The following is a 22,969-nucleotide window of genomic DNA, read 5'->3' on the forward strand; positions in this document are numbered from 1 at the left end:
TCACGCCATTCTCCTGCCTTAGCCTCCCGAGTAGCTGGGATTACAGGCGCCCGCCACCACGCCCACCTAATTTTTTGTATTTTTAGTAGAGACGGGGTTTCACCGTGTTAGCCAGGATGGTCTCGATCTCCCGACCTCGTGATCCACCTGCCTCGGCCTCCCAAAGTGCTGGGATTACAGGCGTGAGCCAGCGCACCCAGCAATTTTTTTACTTTTTGTAGAGATAAGATTTCACCATATTGCCCAGGCTGCTCCGGAACGCCTATGCTCAAGCAATCTGCCTGCCTTGGCTTCCCAAAGTACTGGGATTACAGGCGTGAGCCACTGTGCCAACCTTGAAATTCCTAATAATTTTTGTTACCCTGAGACAGAGTCTTGCTCTGTCACCCAGGCTGGAGTGCAGTGGCATGATCTCGGCTCACTGCAACCTCTGCCTCCCGGGTTCAAGCATGAATTTATGTTTTGAAAGTGTGTCCCCATATCCAAAGGAGTGCAACATTAAATATCAAATAAAAGAATACCATGACAGGTTGAGAAATTGTAGAAAACAAAAACAAAAAAAAGCTTTGTTCCTTTTTTTTTTTTTTTTTTGAGACAAGGTCTCATTCTGTCACCCAGACTGGAGTGTAGTGGCTCGATCATAACTCACTGCAGCCTGAAATTCCTGGGCTCAAATTATCCCTGCCTTGCCTCAGCCTCCTGAGTATCTGGGAGTACAGTACACACCACTATGCCCAACTAAAGTTTTTTAGTTTTTGTAGAGACAGGTTCTCCCCTGTGTTGTCCAGGCTGGTCTTGAACTCCTGGCTTTACATGACCTTCCCGCCTCATCCTCCCAAAGCACTGGGGTTACAGACATGAGCCACCGTGCCCAGCTTGTTTCTGCTTTTGAACAAGGGGTCCTGCATTTTCATTTTGCAGCAGGTCTTGCAAATTATGTAACCATTCCTCATCCCAGGACAAGATACTGGCCAGGTGTGGTGGCTCATGCCTGTAATCCCAGCACTTTGGGAGGTTGAGGTAGGCAGATTGCCCGAGCTCAGGAGTTCAAGACCACCCTGGGCAACATGGTGAAACCCCCGTCTCTACTAAAATACGAAAACATTTAGCCGGGCGTGGTGGTGCACACCTGTAGTCCCAGCTACTCAGGAGGCTGAGGCAGGAGAATCGCTTGAGCCCGGGAGGTGGAGGTTGCAGTGGGCCGAGATTGTGTCACTGCACTCCAGCTTGGGTTACAGAGTGAGACTCCGTCTCAAAAATAAAAAAAGATACCGAAGGCCCCTTCTCCAAAGACCACCTGCTTTATGGTGGTCTTTGGAGAAGGGGCCTTCAGTATTTCCTTAGGCATTTTCCTTGAGTGATAGAAACAGCTCGGTTTTCCCCGTGGAGACAGCATTCCTGTGTGCACCCTCTCTGGTCCCTTCTGCCCAATTCCCTAGGTCTCTAGGAAGGGATGATGGGATGGGATGGGCATGAGGGTGAGGAAGAAGCATGAAGGCGCTTATCAATAACAGATGTCAACAGGTGGCTTATTGATATCAGGTGGTTTATTGATATTGAAACTCCACGCCCCTTTCACCACAGACCACCTGTTGGCCATAAGGCTATGGTGCCAGCGATCTCTCCCACTAACAGAGCTGGCCAGGTCCCAGGGCCTAGCAAACCTCCCAGAGTGGTCTCTAGGTATGGAGGACCCCAGAAAGGGGAAGGGGCTGTGATTGAAGGGATGCTACTCTCTGATTAACCGACAGTATGACCGTCACATTAGGGTCAGCTACACTGCAGGGCTGGGGTGTGTGGATATCTGTGCTGGGGTCTGGGCTCCGTGGAGAGATGTGTAGGGGTAATGAGAAATTGATCAGCAATGAGAGGTGGACTCTGAGCCACCTCCCTGACCCTGAATCATTCAAGCGAGGAGCAGAGGAGCTCTTGACTGGGGGACGGGGATGTGAGGATCCCCAGGGCCTCAGAAGTTGTTATCAATGTTCCAGACATCCCCGCTAAGCGCATTGGCTGCCCCTTGCAGCGTCCAGGTGAGCAGGGCTAGCTGACGCCGGAAACGGCTCTCCTGGAAGCCAGTGGAGGAGGTGGCCCCGGGGGTCCCGGAGCTGTTGGAGCGCAGCAGCCGCAGGTGGTCCAGCAGGGCGCCCAGCGTGTGGTCTCCACGGCCCATGAAGATGTGGCGGAACGGGGAGTCGGCTGGCGACACGTACTGGGAAAGGAAGTAGAACTCCACCTGCGCAGAGAGGGGGATCAGGTCAGGGTTGGGGGCTCTGGCTCGGGAGCAAAGGCCCGAGTCACCCTTCCCGCCAGCCAGTCTTTTTGTTTTTTTGTTTGTTTGTTTTCTTTTTGTGTTTGTTTTTTGTTTGTTCGTTTGTTTTGAGACGGAGTCTCGCTCTGTCTCCCAGGCTGGAGTGCAGTGGCACGATCTCGGCTCACTGCAACCTCCGCCTTCAGCGTTCAAGCGATTCTCCTGCCTCAGCCTCCAGAGTAGCTGGGATTACAGGCACCCGCCACGACGCCCGGCTAATTTTTGTATTTTGAGTAGAGACGGGGTTTCTCCGTGTTGGCCAGGCTGGTCTCGAACTCCTAACCTGAAGTGATCCGCCCGCCTTGGCCTCCCAAAGTGCTGGGATTACAGGTGTGAGCCACCACGCTAGGCCTCCCCTTCTATCTCTAGAACCCCTAAGCCTGCATGTAGTTCTCCCGAGTCTTCCTTCCTCACCCATTCAGTGAATGCTCAAAGCCTCAAAGAACAATCTATCGCCCTGCTGTTCCCTTCTTAACACCACACCTCCCCACACCGAGTCATTCTCCACCCCCACCAATGTCCACAGCCCAGAGACGAAGGTCAAGGGGACAGTCCAGTCCTCATGAAAAGCCTGGCTTTCCTCCCTCTGACGCAGCTGCTGTTCCGTCTTTCCTGAGACGGCCTTGCTCCTGACCTAATCTCCTCCCTCCTTTCTGCCAGCCTCTCCTAGTTTCCTAGCCTCTCCTAGCCCCATCTCTGGTTTGTTCTGCTTCCACCCGTGGGCAGGTCTCAAAGTTCCACCTCCCTCTTCTCTGTACCTATTAAATTATCATTGCCTGGGCACCGCCCCAGTAAAATCAGAATCTCTAGGGGGTGATCTCAGATGCTCACATCTTTTATTTTTAGAGACAGGGTCTCACTGTCACCCAGGCTGGAGTGCAGTGGTGCAATCACAGCTCACTGCAACCCAAACCCCAGAGGTCAAGTGATCTTCCCGCCTTAGCCTCCTGAGTAGTTGGGAGTGCAGGCACGTGCCACCATACCCAGCTGATTTTCAGATGCTCACATCTTTTTAAGGCCTCCATCATTCACTCACAGAGCTCATCTGTGCCCCTGATGTCAACCAGGACCTCTGTGGGGACAGATGCCAAATCTCCCCACCCAGTGACCCACTGGAATCCTGCCCTCCAGCCATCTGGACCTCCCCACTGGGTTTGGGAGCACCTGGACATATCAGTACCGATCTCTTCCCAAACCTGGGCGTTGGGCCCACACTCATGTGGCCCATGGCTTTCTGCAGGTGTCAAGCTGTCACCCTCAAAGGGGAGTGAGCATGGGGTGAGCACAGGCTTTGAAGGTAGACTACCTGGCCTCCAATTTCGGCTCTTCCACTTACTAACTATATGATTTCAGGTAAGTTTCTTAGCCTCTCCTAGCCCCAGTTTCTGGATATAATACTAGCAACCTCAGCGCTGGGGGAAGCAAATGAAATAAATCCTCTAGCATGTGGTAACCTTCTACTATGGTAACTGCAGCTGGGCACAGTGGCTCATGCCTGTAATCCCAGCACTTTCAGAGGCTGAGGCGGGTGGATCATCTGAGGTCAGGAGTTTGAGACCAGCCTGGCCAACATGGCAAAACCCTGTCTCTACTACAAATACAAAAAATTTAGCCAGGTATGCTGATGTGTCCCTGTAATCCCATCTAGTCAGGAGGCTGAGGCACAAGAATAGCCTGAACCCAAGAGGCGGACGTTGCAGTGAGCCAAGATCGTGCCACTGCCCTCCAGCCTGGGTGACAGAGCAAGACTCTGTCTCAGAAAACAAAACCAAACAAACAAACAAACAAACAGGCCGGGCACAGTGGCTGATGCCTGTAATCCCAGCACTTTGGGAGGCCAAGGTGGGTAGATCACGAGGTCAAGAGATCAAGACCATCCTGGCCAACATGGCGAAACCCCGTCTCTACTAAAAATACAAAAATTAGCTGGGTGTGGTGGCACATGCCTGTTGTCCCAGCTACTCAGAAGGCTGAGGCAGGAGAATAGCTTTAACCCGGGAGGCGGAGGTTGCAGCGAGCCGAGATCGTGCCACTGCACTCCAGTCTGGTGACAGAGCGAGACTCCGTCTCAAAAAACAAACAAAAACAAATGGCAACTGCTATTTTATTATTCTTCTATTCTAAGACAACTATTATTATTATTCTCCTCCTCTTCCCTCAACATCAAATCTGTCAATTTCTCCTTCTAAACACCTGACATCGGTCCAGTCCCCACCTATGAGCATTTGCTCCCACCTGCCACTCTCAAGACATTTGCAATCTGACCAAAATCACTCCTAAAAACTCTACTTTGTTGTCCAGCATGGTGGCTCCTGCCTGTAATCCCAGCACTTTGGGAGGCCAAGGTAGGAGGATTACTTGAGCTCAGGAGTTTGAGACCAGCTTGGGCAATGTATGGAAACCCTCATCTCTACAAAAATAAAAATAAAAAATTAGTCGGGTGTGGTGGTGTGCACCTATAGTCCCAGCTACTCAGGAGGCCAAGGTGGGAGGATCACTTGAGCCCAGGAGTTCAATACCAGTCTGGGCAACACAGTGAGACCTCATTTCAAAAACAAAAACTCCCAGCCGGGCGCAGTAGCTCACGCCTGTAATCCTAGCACTTTGGGAGGCTGAGGTGAGCAGATCACTTGATGTCAGGAGTTCAAGACCAGCCTGGCCAACATGATGAAACCCCTTCTCTACCAAAAAAAAAAAAAAAAAAAAAAATTAGGCATGGTTGTGCGCGCCTGTAGTCCCAGCTACTCGGGAGGCAGAAGTGGGAGAATCACTTGAACCCGACAGGCAGAGGTTACAGTGAGCCGGGATCGCGCCACTGCACTCCAGTCTGGGTGACATTAAGACACTGTCTCCAAAAAATAAAGAAAGAAAAATAAATAAAAATAAAAACTCCCCTTTGCTCACATCACCTCTCTGCTCAAAAACCTCTCTAATTTCCTTGATGCTAAGACCCTTAACATCCAAACTTCTAATCCTGGTGTTCGAGGCTCCCCACAGTTGATCGATAACACCACATTTGGTGGTCCCCTCCCCTCTGCCTCTTCATGGGGCCCCTGTTCTGGCTCTGCTGGTCCACACCCCGCTTCCAAGTAAAACCAGACTGATTTCACTGCCACACCCGAATTCTGGTCTCTCCACCCTGAAATGTCCTCTTTACTTTGCATCAATCCACATCCTGCCTGTTCTTCAAGATCCAAGTCACAGTCTAAAGCCAAGGTCAGCAAACTTTTTCTGTGAAATGCCAGATAGTAAATATTTTAGATTTTGCAGGCCATGCTGCTTTTATTGCAGCTACTTAACGTTGCTGCTATTACACAAAAGTAGCCATAGAGAGCGTGAAAACCAATAAGCATGGCTGTTTCAATAAAACTTTATTTACAAAAACAGGGAGCAGAGGCTCACGCCTGTAATCCCAGCACCTTGGGAAGCTGAGGTGGGAGAGTCGCTTGAGCCCAGGATTTTGAGACAAGCCTGGACAATATAGTGAGATCCCATCTCTACAAAAAATTTTAAAAATTAGCGGAGTGTGGTAGTGTGTCCTTGTAGTCCCAGCTACTCAGGAGGCTGAGGTGAGGTGAGAGGATTGCTTGAGCCCGGGAGGTGGAGGTTGCCGTGAGCCCAGATCATGCTACTGCACTCCAGCCTGGGCAACAGAGTGAGACCGTCTCAGAAAAAAAAAAAACAAAAAAACAAGCGGCAGTTTGAATTTGGCCAATGGGCAGTAGTTCACCAACCCCTGGTCTAGAGCCATAAAATTCACTGGGTCTGGCCCAATCCTGTATTGCAGGCTCTGAAGTCCTGAGTCCTTCCCTCTCCATCCCTGAGCCTGAGTCATGCATCTTTTTCTTTTTCTTTTTCTTTTTTTTTTTTTTTTTGAGATGGATTTTCGCTCTTGTTGCCCAGGCTGGAGTGCAATGGCGTGCTCTCGGCTCACTGCAACCTCCATCTCCCAGGCTCAAGTGATTCTCCTGCCTCAGCCTCCTGAGTAGCTGGGATTACAGGCGTGTGCCACCATGCCCAGCTAATTTTGTATTTTTAGTAGAGACGGGGTTTCTCCATGTTGGTCAGGCTGGTCTCGAACTCCTGACCCCAGGTGATCCGCCCACCTCAGCCTCCCAAAGTGCTGAGATTACAGGCGTAAGCCACCGTGCCTGGCCTAAGTCATGCATCTTACACGCAGGTCCCTTTTATCCCTGGTGGGGACAGGGGTATGGCAACTTTGAAAGGTGGGTGTTTTTGTCTTCTGCATGCTGACACAGCTGAGGTTAAACCAAGATCTGTGAATGAGAATGAACCATACCCAACCTATTGCCTCACCCCAGGGTCACCCCTGTTCCAGTAGAGGAGGCAAAGGTTAAAGAAGAATGAATGGAGAAAGAGATATAAGAAGGAGAGGAGAAGGCCAGGTTCAGTAGCTCACGCCTGTAACCCCAGCAATTTGGGAGGCCGAGGCAGGAGGATCACTTGAGGCCAGGAGTTTGAGACCAGCCTGGGCAACATGGTAAAACCCTGTCTCTACAAAAAATAGAAAAATTTAGCCGGGCGTCATGGCACGTGCCTGTACTCCCAGCTACTAGGGAGGCTGAGGTGGGAGGATCACTTGAGCCCAGGAGTTGGAGGTTGCAGTGAGCAGAGATGGTGCCACTGCACTCTAGTCTGGGCAAGGGAGAACGAGCAAGAGCAATAGGTTTGTAAATGGCCAAGGGGGACAGGCAGAGGGCACAAGCAGGAAAATGCAAGGAGGAGAGATAACATGAGCCTCCAAGGGGTAGCCATGCTGGCTCTGAAAACCGTGAGTGTGTGTGCACAAGTGGCTCTGTGTACACTGCAGTTCCCAGCTCACCCCACACTCATTGAGGATGATCCTGTTTACTATTTTGCCCTGCAGACCTTTCCCCATGGCCACAGTCCCTACTCACCCATTTCTTGACATCAAAGGGTTGAGGGGTTGAGTTCTTGGAGTAAGAAAATGGAAGGAAGTGGAGGAGTTGGAACTGGAGGTGGGGTGTGGGCTGCAAAGGATTCAAAGCTAAGCAGAAGGGATTGGTGAGGGAATAAGCTCTTGTTTAACTTTCACGTGACACCTCCTCCAGGCAGCCTTTCTGGATTTCACCCATTTCATTATCAGAAGGAAAACAGCTCTCTTACTCTGAATATCTTTAGCCTTCTGCACTTCCCAGCCTGTAACCTCGTATTGTGGACCAGTGTGGACATGCTTTTTCTTTCCAGAAGGGTCGAGGAGGCAGTGGGAGCTATAGGAGGGGAGTCAGCGGGGAGGGGTGGGGGAGGGTGGATTGTCCCAGTTCTGCCAGGCGTAAACCAGGCGACTGTGGCCAAGAGGCTGGCCCTCCCTGTCCATTTCATCACTTTGATCGCTCGGGTCCTCCAGCCTGACCGATCTATGAGCACTGCGTGTCCAGGACTGGGAAGAGAGCATCCAGAGGACCGGGACTGTGTAGGCGGGGAGAGAGAGGAGCGCGCAGACGGGGCCAGGTCCAGGAGGTGGAGCCCCAGGGGAGGGGCGGGACACTGGGGGCGGGGCGAGGAGGGCGGGGCCTCACCCGCATTATGCGCACGTTGTACATGCGTGTCAGTCGCTCGTCTCTCTCCTCCGAGCTGTAGATCTCCTGCCGCAGCTTTTCCGCCGCCCGGATGTAGTCCCCCCGCGCCGAGTACACCCACTGCAGGGTCAGCCCGCGGGCCTGGGGTGGGGAGGCGCGGGCTGGGGCTGGCGGCAGGGGCCAGGACCCCCGCCTAGCATGGGGACAAGGACCCCCGCCTAGCATGGGGAAGGGGGCTGGGACCCCTGGCCGCAGGAGGGAGGAGGTAGACGAGGACAGAGTGCTGGAGGCAGGATGAAGGGAGTGGGGAGAAGATCCTGCACCTGCCAGGTTGGGCGATGGCACATGCTGGGGGCTGGGAGACTGGAGGCAGGGGGTTAATGGGCTGGATTGCCAGAGAGGACCTAGACCCCAGGGAATGCAGAGAGAAGGGGCTGGACCCCCTGGCCTGGGCAGTGCCTCCCACTCCCAGAGACCAAGAGCGGGGTGGGCCTCTTGAACCTTGAGGTCCCCAGAGAACTCGTTGAGGTTCCCGATGTGCCTGAGGACGACGTCCCCGTAGCGGCCGAAGTCGAGGGGCAGCAGGCGATCGTGGCTGAGCCGGATGAGGAGCTGCCCTGCGAGCTGGGCCACGGCCTGGGCCACGGCGGGCAGGCGGCCTTGCAGCACCTTATGCAGGTTCTCATAAGTGTCCTCCTTTGTGTGCAGGAATGGGTAGGCCTGGTCGTCCTGCCAGGACAGGGTGGACGCTGGGGCGGAGGCAGACAGGCTGAAGGACTAGCGCTGTGTCTGGGGCAGGGGGAGGACGTCTCACCTCCATAAAGGAGAACTCGACGGCAGGGACTCCCACAAAGGCCGTGAAGGAATAGGCACTGCTGTCCATGGGTAGGGGCCGGATCCTGGGGGCAGGTGGGTTGGAGCGATCTGTGGGTTCAGGCTCCCCCACATCCCTCCCCAGCTCTCCCTACCCCCCCAACTTACACCTCAGCATCCCAGCTGGGATTGGTGAACACCACCTGTTCATAGAGAGTCTGCCCACTGTGGTTGGGAGAATCCACCTGGGGGTTGGGGAAGGGCACTGATCAGGCTCTGCTCCTCCCCGCAACCTACTCCCCTTCACCCCCTATTCCTGGGGTGCTCTTGCCTGCTTCAGGACACTCTCAATGAGACTTGTCAGAAGGGGGCTGGTCTTGGCATGAAACTTGTCATCCCCTGGAAAAAGGGGAGGGGAGGGATGCCAGGCTCAGGGCTCAGCCCCAGAGGCAAGGGTGGACCCCAGGGGGCCAGGTGGTGGCACTGCCCCAGCTCACCCAGCACTGCGTTGTCCAGGCTCACGTACACTACGGCTTTGAGGTGCAGCACGCTGAGGTAGCCCTGTGGGTGGGTGACCAGTGTGGAGTGGGAACCCCCCACCCCCACCTCTCCCCAATGCCTAACGACCTGCCCGGGACCCCGTATCACCTCTAGCCACTCCGTGGAGCCCACGCTTCCAAAGTCACCACCGTCCCAGCTGATGAAGAGGAGACTTCTGCGGGGCCGGAAGCCTGGGGACAGAGGGGAAGGAGGACAGGCTTAGCAGGGGCCAAGCAAAGACCCTCCCCTTGTCTTCTTCTGTCCTGGTCCCCCAGGGTCTCTGTTTCTCTGTCTCTCTCTCTGAGACAGGATCTCACTCTCTCGCCCAGGCTGGAGTGCAGTGGTGCAATCATGGCTCAATGTAGCCTTGACCTCTCAGGTTCAAGTCATCCTCTTGCCTCAGCCTCCCAAGTAGCTGGGATTACAGGCATGCACCACTAAGTCCAGCCAATTTTTAAAAAACTTTTGTAGAGATGCAGTCTCCCTATGTTGCCCAGGCTGGTTTTGAATTCCTGGTCTCCAGCGATTCTCCTGTGTTGGCCTCCCAAAGTGCTGGGATTACAGGCATGAGCCATCACGTCCAGCCCAACATGCTTAATCTTGACACAGACCCATGGACTATGATTATCATTCATGTCACTTTTTTTCTTTTCTTTTCTTTCTTTTTTTTAGAAGGAGGCTCATTCTGTTGCCCAGGCTGGAGTGCAGTGGTGCGATCTCGGCTTACTGCAAACTCCGCCTCCCAGGTTCAAGCGATTCTCCTGCCTCAGCCTCCCTAGTAGCTGGGATTACAGGCGCCCTCCACCACGCCTGGCTAATTTTTGTATTTTTAGTAGAGGGTTTCACCATGTTGGCTAGGCTGGTCTCAAACTCCTGACCTCAGGTGATCCATCTGCCTCGGCCTCCCAAAGTGCTGGGACTACAGGCGTGAGCTACCGCACCCGGCCTCACTTTCATTTTTAGGTGACGAAATAGAGGTGAAGTGACTGGCCCAGGGCCACTCAGGTACAATGTGGATGCCGAGGTCCAAGTGACCACTGGCCAGTCTGTGTCCCTCACTGCCTCTCTGCCCTATCCTCCTCGGGCCACAGGCCCACCGCTGCCTAGCCCAGGCCCAGGCCCTGGCCCTGACCTTACCGTTGCTCACCATGGAGGAAAAGGTCCGCACCAGCTCCAGGAGTATAGCCGTCCCCACAGCGGATTTAGCTGCTCCTGGGCCCCATGCATCCCTCTGGGCCCCGATGACAACGTAGTGATCTGGGGAGGGGATGTTTGGGACCCACTTCTGACACTGCACCCTGCACCCTGGGGGCATCCTCCATCTGCCTGTGTCTCTCAGCCCATCACAATTCCGGCAACCCTAGCCCTGCAGTCCCTCCAGTCCCTAAAGAGGGCGCCCCTCCCCACTTGGCCCTTCCTGGATGGTGTGCTCCTTCAGCTGGGTGCCTGAGGTCATTCTGGACTTACAAGGTTTCTGTCACCCAGGCTGGAGTGTGCAGTGGTGTGATCATAGCTCACTGCAGCTTCAAACTCCCTGGCTCAAGCCATCCTCCTGCCTGAGCCTCCCAAGTAGCTGGGACCACAGATGTGTGCCACCATGCTCGGCTAATTTCTTTTACTTACTTACTTATTTATTTATTTAATTTATTTTTTGGAGTCTCGCTCTGTTGCCCAGGCTGGAGTGCAGTGGCACGATCTTGGCTCACGGCAAGCTCCACCTCCCGGGTTCACGCCATTCTCCTGCCTCAGCCTCCTGAGTAGCTGGGAGTACAGGCGCCTGCCACCATGCCCAGCTAATTTTTTTGTATTTTTAGTAGACAGGGTTTCACCATGTTAGCCAGGATGGTCTCGATCTCCTGACCTCATGATCCGCCCACCTCGGCCTTCCAAAGTGCTGGGATTACAGGCGTGAGCCACCGCACCCAGCCAATTTCTCTTATTTTTAAATTTTTTGTGAAGTCTTGGCTTTGTTGCCCCATCTGTCAATTACTTATTTTAATTCTCCACTGCCATCCACATCTAGCTATGCTTGAAAGGGCCATCTATGCTTCTATCTAATCTGATCTGATCTTTCTTTCATGCTTGAGTCTTCCTTCCTTCCTTCCTTCCTTCCTTCCTTTCTCTCTCTCTCTTTCTTTCTTTTTTTCTTTCTCTTTCTCTCTTTCTTTCTTTCTCTTTTTTTTCTTTTTCTTGAGACAAAGTCTTGCTCTGTTGCCCAGGCTGGAGTGCAATGGCACAATCTCGGCTCACAGCAGCCTCCACCTCCTGGGTTCAAGTGATTCTCCTGTCCGAGCCTCCGGAATAGCTGGAATTACAGATGCATGCCACCGGGCCCAGCTAATGTTTGTATTTTTAGTAGAGACGGGGTTTCACCATGTTAGCCAAGCTGGTCTCAAACTCCTGACCTCAAGTGATCCACCTGCCTGGGCCTCCCAAAGTGCTGGGATTACAGGCGTGAGCCACCACACCCGGCCCATGCTTGAGTTTCTATTACAACATCATCCAACTTAGGCTTACTCACTTCCAGTGCTGGGGAGCTCACTACTGGGCAACAACCCCCATTCCATCACTAGACAGGCTGGAAGGTGAGGTCTGTTCACTGCTGCCACCATCAGACCCAGTTCAGCCTCAACTTGCCAGCTTCCCTCCTCTGGGCACCACTCCTGTCCCCTCTTGGGGCCTCCTGCACCAGCCCCCTATCTTGCCAGGGTGTATGGGCAGAAATTCCCCCAGCCCACCACCAGCTGTGAGTGATACTGGACACACAGCATACCTGGCTCTGAGCGGCCTTCGATGCAGCCGAAGATGTTGTTGATGGGGGTGGAGGTCCTGTGATTGTTGACCACTAGCCGCAGTCGTGGCCCGGGGCCCAGGTGATAAGGGGAGCCTAGGAGGCTCCCCTGCCATTCTTGGGGGGCCACAGGGCCTTTGAGCTTCCTGGAGAGGAGGAAGGCAGAAAGGGGGAAGTTGTAGAGAGACCCAGAAGAGTCCAAATCACTCTTTTCCTTATTTCTTTCCCTCCCACCCTTTCTGGCTCCAGATCGCTGCCTCTGGACGCTGCCTGGGTAGGGCAGTGCAGTCAGGGCTGCCTTGGATGGTTCTCAGCTGAGGTAGGTGTGCAATCCAGTGGGAACTTTAGTTGCCAGACAGTAGACCCTGGAGAAAGGCTGTGTCCATCCAGAAGAGTCACTTTTTTTTTTTTTTTTTTTTTTTTTAAAGAGTCAGGGTCCCGGCCAGGCATGGTGGCTCACACCTGTAATCCCAGCATTTTGGGAGGCCGAGATGGGCGGATCACTAGGTCAGGAGTTCGAGACCAGTCTGGCCAACATGGTGAAACCCTCTACTAAAAATACAAAAATTAGCCGGGCGTGGTGGGGGGGCACCTGTAATCCTAGATACTCTGGAGTCTGAGGCAGAAGAATCACTTGAACCCGGGAGGTGGAGGTTGCAGTGAGCCAAGATTGCACCACTGCACTCCAGCCTGGAAGACAGAGCAAGACTCCATCTCAAAAAAAAAAAAAGGTCAGGGTCTCTCTGTCTCCCAGGCTGGAGTGCAGTGGTGTAGTCATGGCTCACTGCAGGCTTAAACAAGAGTCACCTTTTTCTAGTTCACCCACAATCACCCTGTGGCCTCGCTGCAGCCTTCCTCTCTCTGCTTCCTCCTCTTCTGGTCCCCAACACTCCCCTCACCTCAGCAGGCGGGAGGCAATGTCTGCACTGATGGGCTGGGCTGGGATGCTGGGAAGGCCTGATGATGCAACTGGAGGGAACTGGGTTTGATTGAAGGAAGGGAAGCCAGGTGTGTAGGGGTCTCCAGTTCCCAGGTGCACCTGCAGGGAAAGGGGTGCCCACGCAAAGCTGCGAGCTGGGCTTCCAGGAAAAACGAAAAACATGCCAGCCCTATTCTGAGCAAGAAGGTGTGGCCTCGGGACCTGGGAACAGCACGACCAGCCTCCCCAGACTCACATGTCCATACACTGCCTGCTGGCTGGACAGGCTTGGCTTGGGTGGGTCCTGGGAGAAGTCCGCTGGCTCTGGGTATATGAGCACTCCTTGAGCCCCGAAGTCCTGAGCATTGGTCACCTGGGGAGGAAGGTGACTAGAGGACTCCTCCCAGAAAAAAACCCGATTCATAAGGGCAGGAGAAACCAGGAAATGGCAAGGCCTTTGCTTGCAACTGTCCATCCCACGGAGAGGATGTGGGGGCACTACCTGGCCTGTGTCTTCCCAACCTCAGCAGCTCCTAGGCAGCCCTCAAACCCCACCGGGCTCCAGGGTACCCCATGTTTCTGTTCCCTTCCCCATCTGATTTCCCCCAACACCCAATTTGTTCCCAGCCAACATTTTCTTTTTTCCTTCTGATTCAATTCCCAGACCAGCCAACATTTTCCTTCCTTCCTTCCTCCCTCCCTCCCTCCCTTCTCTGTTTCTCTCTCTTTTTTTTTTTTTTCTTTTTGAGACAGAGTCTCTCTTGCCCAGGCTGGAGTGCAGTGGCGCGATCATAGCTCACTGCAGCCTGGCACTCCTGGGCTCAAGCGATCCTCCCACCGGAGCCTCCGGAGTAGCTGGGACCACATGCATGTGCCACCAGCCCAGCTAACTAAAAAAAAAAAAAAAAGAACCTTTTTTTTTTTTTTTTTTTTTAGTAGAGAGGGGGTTCTCACCGTGTTGCCTTGAATTCCTGGCCTCAAGCGATCCTCCTGTCTTGGCCTCCTAAAGTGCTGGGATTGCAGGTGAGAACCATCGTGCCCAGCTTATATTTTCTTACCATCCAGCCACATGGTTCTTTCCTGTCTCCCTCTCACAGCACCCTGAACGATTCTCACTGGCAGTCCGACCCTCCGGTTCCCGGGCTCAAGCCCTCCCTCTGTCCAGGGACACTTACCTTCTGGGCGAAGCTGATCACCCCCACGCGCACCAGCAGCAGGCGGCCCACTGGATCCACGCCCCTGGCCCGCAGGTCCTGCAGGTCTTCGGGCCGCCCGTAGTGGGCGTACACCAGCTCTCCCTGGGGACACGAGGACGGTGAGGCGCGCTCCCCGCGTCCCTCCTTCGAGACCCAGGAAAGGGCTCGTGCCGCGCCCCATCCTAGGAGCGGGCAGGGGGTGCTCACCGTGACGTTGCCGATGGCGCTGTAGGGGCAGTAGACGTCAGGGTCCTCCAGCGGCAGCTGCTCTCCGACCTTCCCGGCCTCATCGACCCAGTGCAGGGTGTTGGGGTGAGCCCTGGGGAGCGGGGCTGGTGAGCGCCCCGAGCCGCGTCCCCCTCCCCGCGCGCCCCCCGCCCGCGCGCGCACTCACGGATCCGGGAATTGCAGCCCCACGTAGTGCGTGTCGGTCCACACGTGGTCCAGCTTCTGGCGGGAGAGCGCCGCGCGAATGTCCTGAGTCAGAGCGGCCATCCCGGCCGAGCCTGCCACCCGTTCCCGAAGGCTGGTTTGCCTAAGCGGGGAGAGGTGGGGACTTTTCTGGGCGCCCGGAGGAGAGGGAGGGAAGAGGGAAGGATGCCAGAGACGTGGGGTCGCCAGGGGCAGGGGCGGCGAGGGGTTCCTGAGTTTAGGAAAAGAGCGCTCCCCGCGGACGCTTTTTTTTTTTTTTTTTTTTTTTTTTTTGAGACGGAGTGTCGCTCTGTCGCCCAGGCTGGAGTGCAGTGGACCAATCTCGGCTCTCTGCAACTTCCGCCTTCCTGGTTCAAGCCATTTTCCTGCCTCGGCCTCCCTCGTATCAGGGATTACAGGCACGTGCCATCACGCCCGGCTAATTTTTGTATTTTTAGTAGAGACGGGTTTCACCATGTTGACCAGGTTGGTCTCAAACTCCTGATCTCAGGTGATCTGCCCGCCTCGGCCTCCCAAAGTGCTGGCATTACAGGCGCGAGCCGCAGTGCAGGGCCCTCCGCGGACCCATTTTCTCCCATCACCACCAGGGCGGCGCCGGAGACTCTCAGGACCTCACTCTGCTTAAAACCTGACTTCCCATAGCTGGGGGTCCTGCCCATCATCCTGTAGGTTCTTCCCGGCTCAAGCCAAACTCTCTCCCCCAACCTCGTTCCTCCCGACGTCAACACACACACACACACACACACACACACACACACACACACACAGCACCCAAACACTTTCCTTCGAAAGAGCTAACTGGGCAGGCAGCAGACCCTCCTCATCTCCCCCATCCTCCACGTGGGCCTCATGGAGACACTTTACACCAAGGTACTCAGGGGAATCACCGGTTCCTGGGCTCAAGCCATCCTCCCGCCTCAGCCTCCTGAGCAGCTGGGACTACAGGTGTACGCCACCAACCGCTGATTTTTAAAAATTTTTTGTAGACGAGAAGTCTTGCTGTGTTTCCCAAGCTGGTCTTGAACTCCTGGCCTCAAGCGATCCTCCCAAAGTGCTGGGACTACAGGCATGAACCATGACGACCCGCCCCATATGTGTATTTAAAGCTACACATCAAAAGCGTGAGATAAGGTGCTTATGGGGAGGGGAGTGGGGAGGATCACTCAGGGATGAGGCAGGAAAATTCAATTCAAAACAGTTAAAGTAGCCAGTAAGGCCCTTTAGGGCCTGAGCTACATCCACCTCACCGGCCACATGGACCATCTTTCCCTTCCTCCAAGAGGCCACCATCTTCACATTTCAGACCCTTCGCAAATGGTGAATCTCAGCCTGAATGTTTTTCCACAGTCTCTTTGCCTGGCAAATTACTCATCTTGGCAGTTTAGACTCGTCAGTTCCTCAACGAAGCCTTCCCTGAACTGCAATCTAAATCAGGATCCTGGTTATAGTCTTTCTTTACACACTTTTCTTTTCTTTTTTCTTTCTTTCTTTCTTTTTTTTTTTGAGACGGAGTCTCGCTCTGTCGCCCAGGCTGGTGTGTAGTCGTGCAATCTCAGCTCACTGCAACCTCTGCCTCCTGGGTACAAGTGATTCTCCTGCCTCAGCCTCCTGAGTAGCTAGGACCACAGGCGCCTACCACCACACTCAGCTAGTTTTGTATTTTTTTAGTAGAGACAGGGTTTCGGCATGTCGGCTAGGCTGGTCTCAAACTCCTGGCCTCAGGCAATCAGCCCACCTTCACCTCCCAAAATGCTGGGATTACAGGTATGAGCCATGGCGCCCGGCCCCTTTTCTTTTCTTTTTTTGGAGATAGGGTCTCACTCTGTCACCCAGCCTGGAGTGCAGTGGCATGACCATAGCTCACTGCAACCTTCAGCTCCTAAGCTCAAGCCATCCTCCTGCCTCAGCCTCCTGAATAGCCGGGACTCTAGGCATGCACCACCATACTGGGCTAATTTTTTATTTTTCTTTTTTAAAAAATTATTATTATTATTATTATTATTATTTTTGACATGGAGTTTCACTCTTGTTGCCCAAGCTGGAATGCAATGGCGCAATCTTGGCTCACTGCAACCTCCACCTCCCAGGTTCAAACAATTCTCCTGCCTCAGCCTCCCAAGTAGCTGGGATTATAGGTGCCCGCCAACATGCCCAGCTAATTTTTTTTGTATTTTTAGTAGAGCCTAAAAAGGGTGAAACAGTGTTTCACCATGTTGGCCAGGCTGGTCTCGAACTCCTGTCCTCAGGAGATCCACCTGCCTTGGCCTCCCAAAGTGCTGGGATTACAGGTGTGAGCCACCGTGCCTGGTCAAATTATTATTATTTTTTTAAGAGACAGGATCTCTCTATGTTGCCCAGGCTGGTCTCAAACTGGGCTCAAGAGATCCTCCCACCTCAGCCTCCCAAAGTGCTGGGCTCACAGGTGTGAGCCACCACACTGAGCCTCACATCCTTTGCTTTTCTTTCAAAGCAATGATTCCAGTCATAATTATGTAGTCGTGAATGATTGTTAGTTTAGTATTGGTTTTCTCCAGTGGATTGTAAGCACCATGAGAACAAAGTTAGACTGTTTTAGTCTCTATCTCACCACCACCTGCTTAGCTTAGTACCTGCCACGTAGTAGATGCCCCAAAATACTTGTTGGATAAATGAATTAATTACTTCATCATTGTCACCTCCAGTCCAGGCACTCCACTTCCCTGGTCACACCCTGCATCTTTTTTTTTTTTTTTTTTTTTTTGAGATGGAGTCTTGCTCTGTTTCACAGGCTGGAGTGCATTGGTGCGATCTCAGCTCACTGCAACCTCTGCCTCCCAGTTTCAAGTGATTCTCCTGCCTCAGCCTCCCGAGTAGCTGGGATTACAGGCATGCACCATCACACCCAGTTAATTTTTGTATTTTTAGTAGAGACAGGATTTCACCATGTTGGCCAGGCTGGTCTCAAACTCCTGACCTCAGATGATCCACCTGCCTTGACCTCCCAAAGTGCTGGGATTACAGGCGTGAGCCACTGTGCCTGGCCCGTATCCTGCATCTTGTCATTACCCGCACTCCATCTCTGGAATACTTATCCATTGAGGATCTACTGAACATCTAGTAAGTGCCAGGCATTGTGGTAGGTGCTGGAGACTCTGAGATAGACAGGATATATTGTATCAGGAAGTTTTCAAGGATCCAGAATCCTACTCTCTGAGTAGACCCTGTCAGGTTCCAACTCCCCCAGTTATCCTCGCTGTACCTGCTCTTCAACCCCATTGAACATGACAAATGTCCTATAGCTCCACATGTATCATCTCCCCCCACTTTCTCTTCCCTCTCCATCCCACCGAGAGCCATGTTTCACTCTTGTTGCCCAGGCTGGAATGCAATGGCGCGATCTCGGCTCACTGCAACATCCTTGCTCTCTCCCCAAAACTGCTACTTTTGCCTCAGTGCCACACCCCGCTTCTAGACCTGTCAAACTATCTACCTGCTCAGCCTGTACCCAGATGACCAAATACTGCTCAAAAAAATAAAAGTAGCCCTGAACAGGCTGGGCACCATGGCTTACGCCTGTAATCCAAGAAATTTGGGAGGCCAAGGTAGGAGGATTGCTTGAGCCCAGGAGTTCGAAACCAGCCTGGCCAACATGATGAAACCCTGTCCCTAAAAAAAATACATAAATTGCCGGGCGCAGTGGCTCACACCTGTAATCCCAGCACTTTGGGAGGCCGAGGTGGGTGGATCTCCTGAGGTCAGGAGTTCGAGACCAGACTGACCAACATGGAGAAACCCCATCTCCACTAAAAATACAAAATTAGCTGGGTGTCGTGGCGCATGACTGTAATCCCAGCTACTCGGGGAGCTGAGGCAGGAGAATCGCTTGAACCCGGGAGGCGGAGTTTGCAGTGAGCCAAGATCGTGCCATTGCTCTCCAGCCTGGGCAACAAGAGTGAAACTCTGTCTCACAAAAAAAAAGAAAAAAACAAAAAACAAACAAAAAAATCATAAATTAGCTGGGCATGGTGGCTCACGCCTGTAGTCCCAGCTACTTGGGAAGCTGAGGCACAAAAATCACCTGAAGCCGGGAGGCGGAGGTTACAGTGAGCTAAGATCATGCCACTGTACTCCAGCTTGGGCAACAGAGTGAGAATTGGTTGCAAATATATAAAAATAAATAAATCCTGTCCCTAAATAATAATAATAATTTTGAAAAAAGAAAAATGAAAAATTAGCTGGGCGTGGTGGCCCCTCCCTGTAGACCCAGCTACTCAGGAGGCTGAGATGGGAGAATCACCTGAGCTTGGGAAATCGAGGCTGCAGTGAGCCCAGATTGCACCACTGCATTCTAGCCTAGGTGACAGAGCAAGGCCCTGTCTCAAAAAAAAATTAATGTAATTTAATTTTTTTTTTTTTGAGATGGAGTTTCACTCTTGTTGCCCAGGCTGGAGTGCAATGGCACGACGTTGACTCACCGCAACCTCCGCCTCCTGGGTTTAAGCGATTCTCCTGCTTCAGCCTCCCGAGTAGCTGGGATTACAGGCATGCGCCACTACGCCCGGCTAATTTTGTATTTGTTTTGTTTTTTTGAGACAGAGTCTTGCTCTGTCGCCCAGGCTGGAGTGCAGTGGCGCGATCTCGGTTCACTGCAAGCTCCGCCTCCCGGGTTCATGCCATTCTCCTGCCTCAGCCTCCCAAGTAGCTGGGACTATAGGTGCCCGCCACCACGCCCAGCTAATTTTTTGTGTTTTTAGTAGAAACGGGGTTTCACCATGTTAGCCAGGATAGTCTCGATCTCCTGACCTCATGATCTGCCCACCTCGGCCTCCCAAAGTGCTGGGATTACAGGTGTGAGCCACCATGCCTGACCTGTAATTTAATTTAAAAGCCCTGAGCAGGCTGGGTGCGGTACCTCATTCCTATAATCCCAGCATTTTGGGAGGCTGAGGTGGGAGGATTGTTTGAGGCCAGTAGTTTGAGACCATCCTGGGCAACATAGGGAGACCTCGTTTCTACTAAAAAAAATTAAAAATTAGGCTGGGCATGGTGGCTCATGCCTGTAATCCCTGCACTTTGGGAGGCCGTGGTGGGTGGATCATCTGAGGTCAGGAGTTTGAGACCAGTCTGCCCAACATGGTGAAACCCCGTCTCTACTAAAAATACAAAAAATTGGTTGGGTGTGGTGGCAGGCACCTGTGATCCCAGCTACTCGGGAGGCTAAGGCAGGAGAATTGCTTGAACCTGGGAGGTGGAGGTTGCCATGAGCCGAGATCGCACCACTGCACTCCAGCCTGGGCAACAGTGAAACTCTGTCTCAAAAAAAGTAAAAAAAAAAAAAATAGCCGGGCATAGTGGCACACATCTGTAGTCCTAGCTACTTGAAAGGCTAAGGTGGGAGGATCACTTGGGTCCAGGAGTTGGAGGCTGCAGTGAGCTATCATCTCGGCACTGTCTGGGTGACAGTGAGGCCCTATCTCAAAAAAATAAAGCCCTGAACATTGTTGATTCCACAGACTCAAGGTCTTTCAGCAGGTGAATCCAGCAACATATCAAAAGAGTAATCATACACCTTGATCAAGGTTAGCGTTGAGCTCAGGAAGATAAGGAAATCTATTAACACAAATTACTATATAAACATTAAAGAAGAGGCTGGGTGCTGTGGCTCATGCCTGTAATCCCAGCACTTTGGGAAGCCGAAGCGCTTTGGCAGATCGCTTGAGCTTACGAGTTGGAGACCAACCTGGGCAACATGGCAAAACCCTGTCTCTACTAAAAAATACAAAAATTAATCAAGCGTGATGGCACACACCTGTAATCCCAGCTACTCAGGAGGCTGAGGCATGAGAATCGCGTGAACCTGGGAGGCGGAGGCTGCAGTGAGCCAAGATTGCACCACTGCACTCCAGCCTGGGTGATAAGAGGGAGACTCCGTCTCAAAAAATCAATCAATCAATAAAAGTCTCAGTGAGCTAGGAGTGAAAGGAAACTTCCTTAATTCAATTTTAAAAAGCTGTCTGGAGCACAGCAAAGTTCATTGTCAATGGCAAAGTATTATAAAAGCATTGCTATTAAAGTCAGGAAATAGGCAAGGATACCTACTGCCACGGTTACCTTAAATTCATGTCCTCTCAAATGCAATGAGAAATGAAAAAAAAAAAAACGTAGAAGGTATAAGCATTGGAAAAGAGAATCTCCATCTCCTACTATCTGTAGCTTAGCTGATTACCTACTTAGAAAACCCAGGCGAATCCACTGAAAAATTACTCCCGTCCCAAAAGAGGGCTATGGGTGGACCTAGCTTTTGGATCTGCACCCACAAATGCATTTGCTTACTTGTTTTTCTTTTTTTCTTTTCTTTTTTTTTTTTTTTGAGATGGAGTCTCGCTCTGTTGCCCAGGCTGAAGTGCAGTGGCGTGATCTCGGCTCAATGCATGCTCCACCTCCTGGGTTCAAGCCATTCTCCTGCCTCAGCCTCCCGAATAGCTGGGACTAGAGGCGCCCGCCACCATGCCCGGCTAATATTTTGTGTTTTTAGTACAGACGGGGTTTCACCGTGTTAGCCAAGATGGTCTCGATATCCTGACCTAGTGATCTGCCCGCCTCCGCCTCCCAAAGTGCTGGGATTACAGGCCTGAGCCACCGCACCCTGCCGTTATTTTGTTTTTGAAACAGGGTCTCGCTCTGTCTCCCAGGCTGGAGTGCAGTGGCATAATCTCGGCTCACTGCAACCTCCGCCTCCCCGGCTCAGGCAATCCTCCCCCGTCAAGCTCCCAAGTAACTGGGACTACAGGCACTCGCCATCATCCCCAGCTAATTTTTGTGTTTTCTTTGGTAGAGACGGGGTTTCATCGTATTGCCCAGGCTTGCTTGCTTGGTTTTCTGATTCCCTAGAATGCGGCTTCTCAGAACCCCTCAGCGCTCCCTGCTCCAAATCTAGGCGCCTGGGTGAGGCATTCAAGGCTTTTCTGGGTCTGTCCAGTCTGATACTGGATGCTGCACCCCTCTGATCTCAGACAGTCAGCTCCCTCACCTCCCAAATATGCCACCCTCAGAGCCTCAGTCCCCTGGAACCTCAGCTCCGAATGCCTGCCATCCTTCCCAGGACCGCTGAACAGGGGGGCCAGGAAGGCAGATGGGAGGACTCAGGAGGGGGACCCAGACACCAGAGGCCTGGGCCAGGAGGCAGGGAGGCCCAGTCTGAGCGGATGAGGGGAGGGACACTCGAGAACAGGATGGGGCAGGGCCATCCCTACCTGATGGTGTCCTCCAGGCGCCCCTCCCCCAGGAACTGCAGGAACATGGCCTGGAGGTCGCTCCAGTAGAGTCTGCCCTGGTGGAAATCCAGGTCAGGCTCATAGTTGACATCCTCACTGACCACCAACACAGAGTCTCCGCACGCCTGGCAGGACCCTCGGAAGGCGACGTAGCCCAGTAGGAAGGCTGGCGGGTGGCAAGATGGGGATTCTCTTTATGCCCACCTCTGGACCCCAGAAATCTCCCCCAGCCCAAGCCCTTCACTTCTGGGGAGGGGGACGGCTCTCACCCCCAGTGAAGATCAGCAGGGCCGTCAGGACCAGGTAGGGGGCAGCCCTCCGTCCTGCTGCCGCCCAGGGAATGAGGTTTGGCTGCCTGGGTCTAGAGCCCAGGGGCTCAGGGCCCCTCAGCTCCATGGGGCAGAAGTGGGCCAATGTCTCCGCCCCCTCCTCCCCGTCTTCCTCTTCCTCCTCCAGGTGCCCTTTCCGGGGGCCTTCCACACGCTGGTAGACGGTCTGAGAGGATCTTGGGGACAGTTGTTGCTGTGCAGGCGAGGTGGGCATGAGATTGGGGCAAGAGGCCTGGGGGGTGGGGAGGCATCTGGCAATAATGAGGTCAGTGACTTGGGGGTGTCAAATGAGCATGGTGGTGGGGGCGTGGGGGAGGGGCAGGGGTGGGAAGAAGCGAGGTCAGGACACGGTCCAGGAGGGGCCAGCCTCAGGGGCTTGGGAGGGGGCTGAGGGACTTAGAGAGAAGGCCTAAGGGGTCTTCCCAATCCCACTAGTCTTACCGCTCTCTGGAATAGACCCCAAAGCCGCTCCATGCTTGTGTCCCCTCCTGAAGCCTGCAGGCTGTCCCCCAGCGATAAACCGATAAACCGTTTGTGGGAGCCCTAGGAGGGCCCCTTATCAGTCCTGGCAGGCAGCCTGAACCAAGGCTGCTCCTCACCACCCCCAAGGGTGGGGGCACAGTCCTGGCCTCAGTCCAGCCTTCCAGACGTGGCCCCCGGGTCCAGGCCAGAGCACAAGGGGCTGTGCTCTCCCCTGCCAATCTCTCCACAGCCCCACGCCTGCCTCCTCCCTGCAAAACAATCAATTTTTTGACCTTGGGGCGGACTTTGGCCTCCTAGTTCCCATCAGGGGTGGGGGAAGGGGGCCGATAGTGGGGGAGGGC

The 22,969-nt window shown here is 53.4% G+C and overlaps 1 protein-coding gene and 2 long non-coding RNA genes across 4 annotated transcripts, besides 7 other annotated features; 1 reads left to right on the plus strand and 2 right to left on the minus strand.

Annotated features, from left to right (window-relative positions):
- Positions 1,530 to 22,662, minus strand: TFR2 (transferrin receptor 2). 2 transcript variants are annotated; one of them, NM_003227.4, is made up of 18 exons: positions 22,587 to 22,662; positions 22,086 to 22,338; positions 21,796 to 21,982; positions 14,526 to 14,666; positions 14,339 to 14,450; positions 14,111 to 14,233; positions 13,192 to 13,308; positions 12,916 to 13,055; positions 11,999 to 12,162; positions 10,363 to 10,482; positions 9,334 to 9,416; positions 9,183 to 9,246; positions 9,017 to 9,084; positions 8,854 to 8,930; positions 8,687 to 8,771; positions 8,374 to 8,601; positions 7,873 to 8,013; positions 1,530 to 2,236 (listed from the first exon to the last, which is right to left on the minus strand). In NM_003227.4, the coding sequence occupies exons 1-18, from the start codon at positions 22,617 to 22,619 to the stop codon at positions 1,967 to 1,969; spliced, it is 2,406 nt and encodes an 801-aa protein (NP_003218.2). In that variant the 5' UTR covers positions 22,620 to 22,662; the 3' UTR covers positions 1,530 to 1,966. The 2 variants fall into 2 exon arrangements, with proteins under 2 accessions (NP_003218.2, NP_001193784.1); NM_001206855.3 differs by lacking the exons at positions 21,796 to 21,982; positions 22,086 to 22,338; positions 22,587 to 22,662 and having other exon boundaries at positions 14,526 to 14,760.
- Positions 3,232 to 14,212, plus strand: LOC124901709 (uncharacterized). The gene is made up of 3 exons (XR_007060454.1): positions 3,232 to 3,664; positions 12,266 to 12,335; positions 14,033 to 14,212. It is a non-coding gene; the product is annotated as an uncharacterized LOC124901709 (long non-coding RNA).
- On the minus strand, positions 5,664 to 7,860 carry LOC124901710 (uncharacterized). The gene is made up of 2 exons (XR_007060455.1): positions 7,460 to 7,860; positions 5,664 to 7,340 (listed from the first exon to the last, which is right to left on the minus strand). It is a non-coding gene; the product is annotated as an uncharacterized LOC124901710 (long non-coding RNA).
- Positions 7,543 to 8,307: an enhancer, noted in NCBI's record as "H3K27ac-H3K4me1 hESC enhancer chr7:100224056-100224820 (GRCh37/hg19 assembly coordinates)". NCBI's record gives its function as "activates a minimal SCP1, AML or CMV promoter by ChIP-STARR-seq in naive H9 embryonic stem cells {active_cell/tissue: H9 hESC(naive)}" and the evidence as "EXISTENCE:reporter gene assay evidence [ECO:0000049][PMID:30033119]".
- Positions 7,716 to 8,010: an enhancer, noted in NCBI's record as "tiled region #4647; HepG2 Activating non-DNase unmatched - State 10:DNaseD, and K562 Activating DNase matched - State 5:Enh". NCBI's record gives its function as "activates a minimal TATA promoter and a strong SV40 promoter by Sharpr-MPRA in HepG2 and K562 cells {active_cell/tissue: HepG2 | K562}" and the evidence as "EXISTENCE:reporter gene assay evidence [ECO:0000049][PMID:27701403]".
- Positions 7,806 to 7,945: a silencer, noted in NCBI's record as "silent region_18451". NCBI's record gives its function as "represses an Ori minimal core promoter by ATAC-STARR-seq in GM12878 lymphoblastoid cells {active_cell/tissue: GM12878}" and the evidence as "EXISTENCE:reporter gene assay evidence [ECO:0000049][PMID:35858748]".
- Positions 8,006 to 8,065: a silencer, noted in NCBI's record as "silent region_18452". NCBI's record gives its function as "represses an Ori minimal core promoter by ATAC-STARR-seq in GM12878 lymphoblastoid cells {active_cell/tissue: GM12878}" and the evidence as "EXISTENCE:reporter gene assay evidence [ECO:0000049][PMID:35858748]".
- Positions 8,308 to 9,070: an enhancer, noted in NCBI's record as "H3K27ac-H3K4me1 hESC enhancer chr7:100224821-100225583 (GRCh37/hg19 assembly coordinates)". NCBI's record gives its function as "activates a minimal SCP1, AML or CMV promoter by ChIP-STARR-seq in naive H9 embryonic stem cells {active_cell/tissue: H9 hESC(naive)}" and the evidence as "EXISTENCE:reporter gene assay evidence [ECO:0000049][PMID:30033119]".
- Positions 13,963 to 14,082: an enhancer, noted in NCBI's record as "active region_26378". NCBI's record gives its function as "activates an Ori minimal core promoter by ATAC-STARR-seq in GM12878 lymphoblastoid cells {active_cell/tissue: GM12878}" and the evidence as "EXISTENCE:reporter gene assay evidence [ECO:0000049][PMID:35858748]".
- Positions 14,463 to 14,522: a silencer, noted in NCBI's record as "silent region_18453". NCBI's record gives its function as "represses an Ori minimal core promoter by ATAC-STARR-seq in GM12878 lymphoblastoid cells {active_cell/tissue: GM12878}" and the evidence as "EXISTENCE:reporter gene assay evidence [ECO:0000049][PMID:35858748]".

The sequence above is a fragment of the Homo sapiens genome, chromosome 7 (genome assembly GCF_000001405.40).
Source record: "Homo sapiens chromosome 7, GRCh38.p14 Primary Assembly".
NCBI lineage: Eukaryota > Metazoa > Chordata > Mammalia > Primates > Hominidae > Homo > Homo sapiens.